Raw genomic sequence first — 676 nt, 5'->3', positions numbered from 1 at the left:
GTGTTTCTTGGAGAGGGGGATGTGTCAGGGTCATAGGATAATATGGAGAGAAGGTCAGCAGATAAACATGTGAACAAAGGTCTCTGCATCGTAGACAAGGTAAAGAATTAAGTGCTGTGCTTTAGATATGCATACACATAAACATCTCAATGCCTTACAGAGTAGTATTGTTGCCCGCATGTCCCACCTCCAGCCCTAAGGCAGTTTTCCCCTATCTCAGTAGATGGAACATACAATTGGGTTTTATACCGAGACATTCCATTGCCCAGGGATGGGCAGGAGACAGATGCCTTCCTCTTGTCTCAACTGCAAAGAGGCATTCCTTCCTCTTATACTAGTCCTCCTCAGCACAGACCCTTTATGGTTGTTGGGCTGGGGGACGGTCAGGTCTTTCCCTTCCCACGAGGCCATATTTCAGACTATCACATGGGGAGAAACCTTGGACAATACCTGGCTTTCCTAGGCAGAGGTCCCTGTGGCTTTCCGTAGTGTTTGTGTCCCTGGGTACTTGAGATTAGGGAGTGGTGATGACTCTTAACGAGCATGCTGCCTTCAAGCATCTGTTTTAACAAAGCACATCTTGCACAGCCCTTAATCCATTTAACCCTGAGTTGACACAGCACATGTTTCAGAGAGCACGGGGTTGGGGGTAAGGCTATAGATTAACAGCATCTCA

The 676-nt window shown here is 47.3% G+C and overlaps 1 annotated feature.

The window, feature by feature from the left end:
• Positions 1–676: an enhancer, noted in NCBI's record as "NANOG hESC enhancer chr1:109060171-109060846 (GRCh37/hg19 assembly coordinates)". NCBI's record gives its function as "activates a minimal SCP1, AML or CMV promoter by ChIP-STARR-seq in naive H9 embryonic stem cells {active_cell/tissue: H9 hESC(naive)}" and the evidence as "EXISTENCE:reporter gene assay evidence [ECO:0000049][PMID:30033119]".

Source organism: Homo sapiens, chromosome 1 (genome assembly GCF_000001405.40).
Source record: "Homo sapiens chromosome 1, GRCh38.p14 Primary Assembly".
Taxonomy (NCBI): domain Eukaryota; kingdom Metazoa; phylum Chordata; class Mammalia; order Primates; family Hominidae; genus Homo; species Homo sapiens.
Note: the sequence above shows the minus strand (reverse complement) of the source record. Positions and strands in the feature narration are given on the sequence as shown.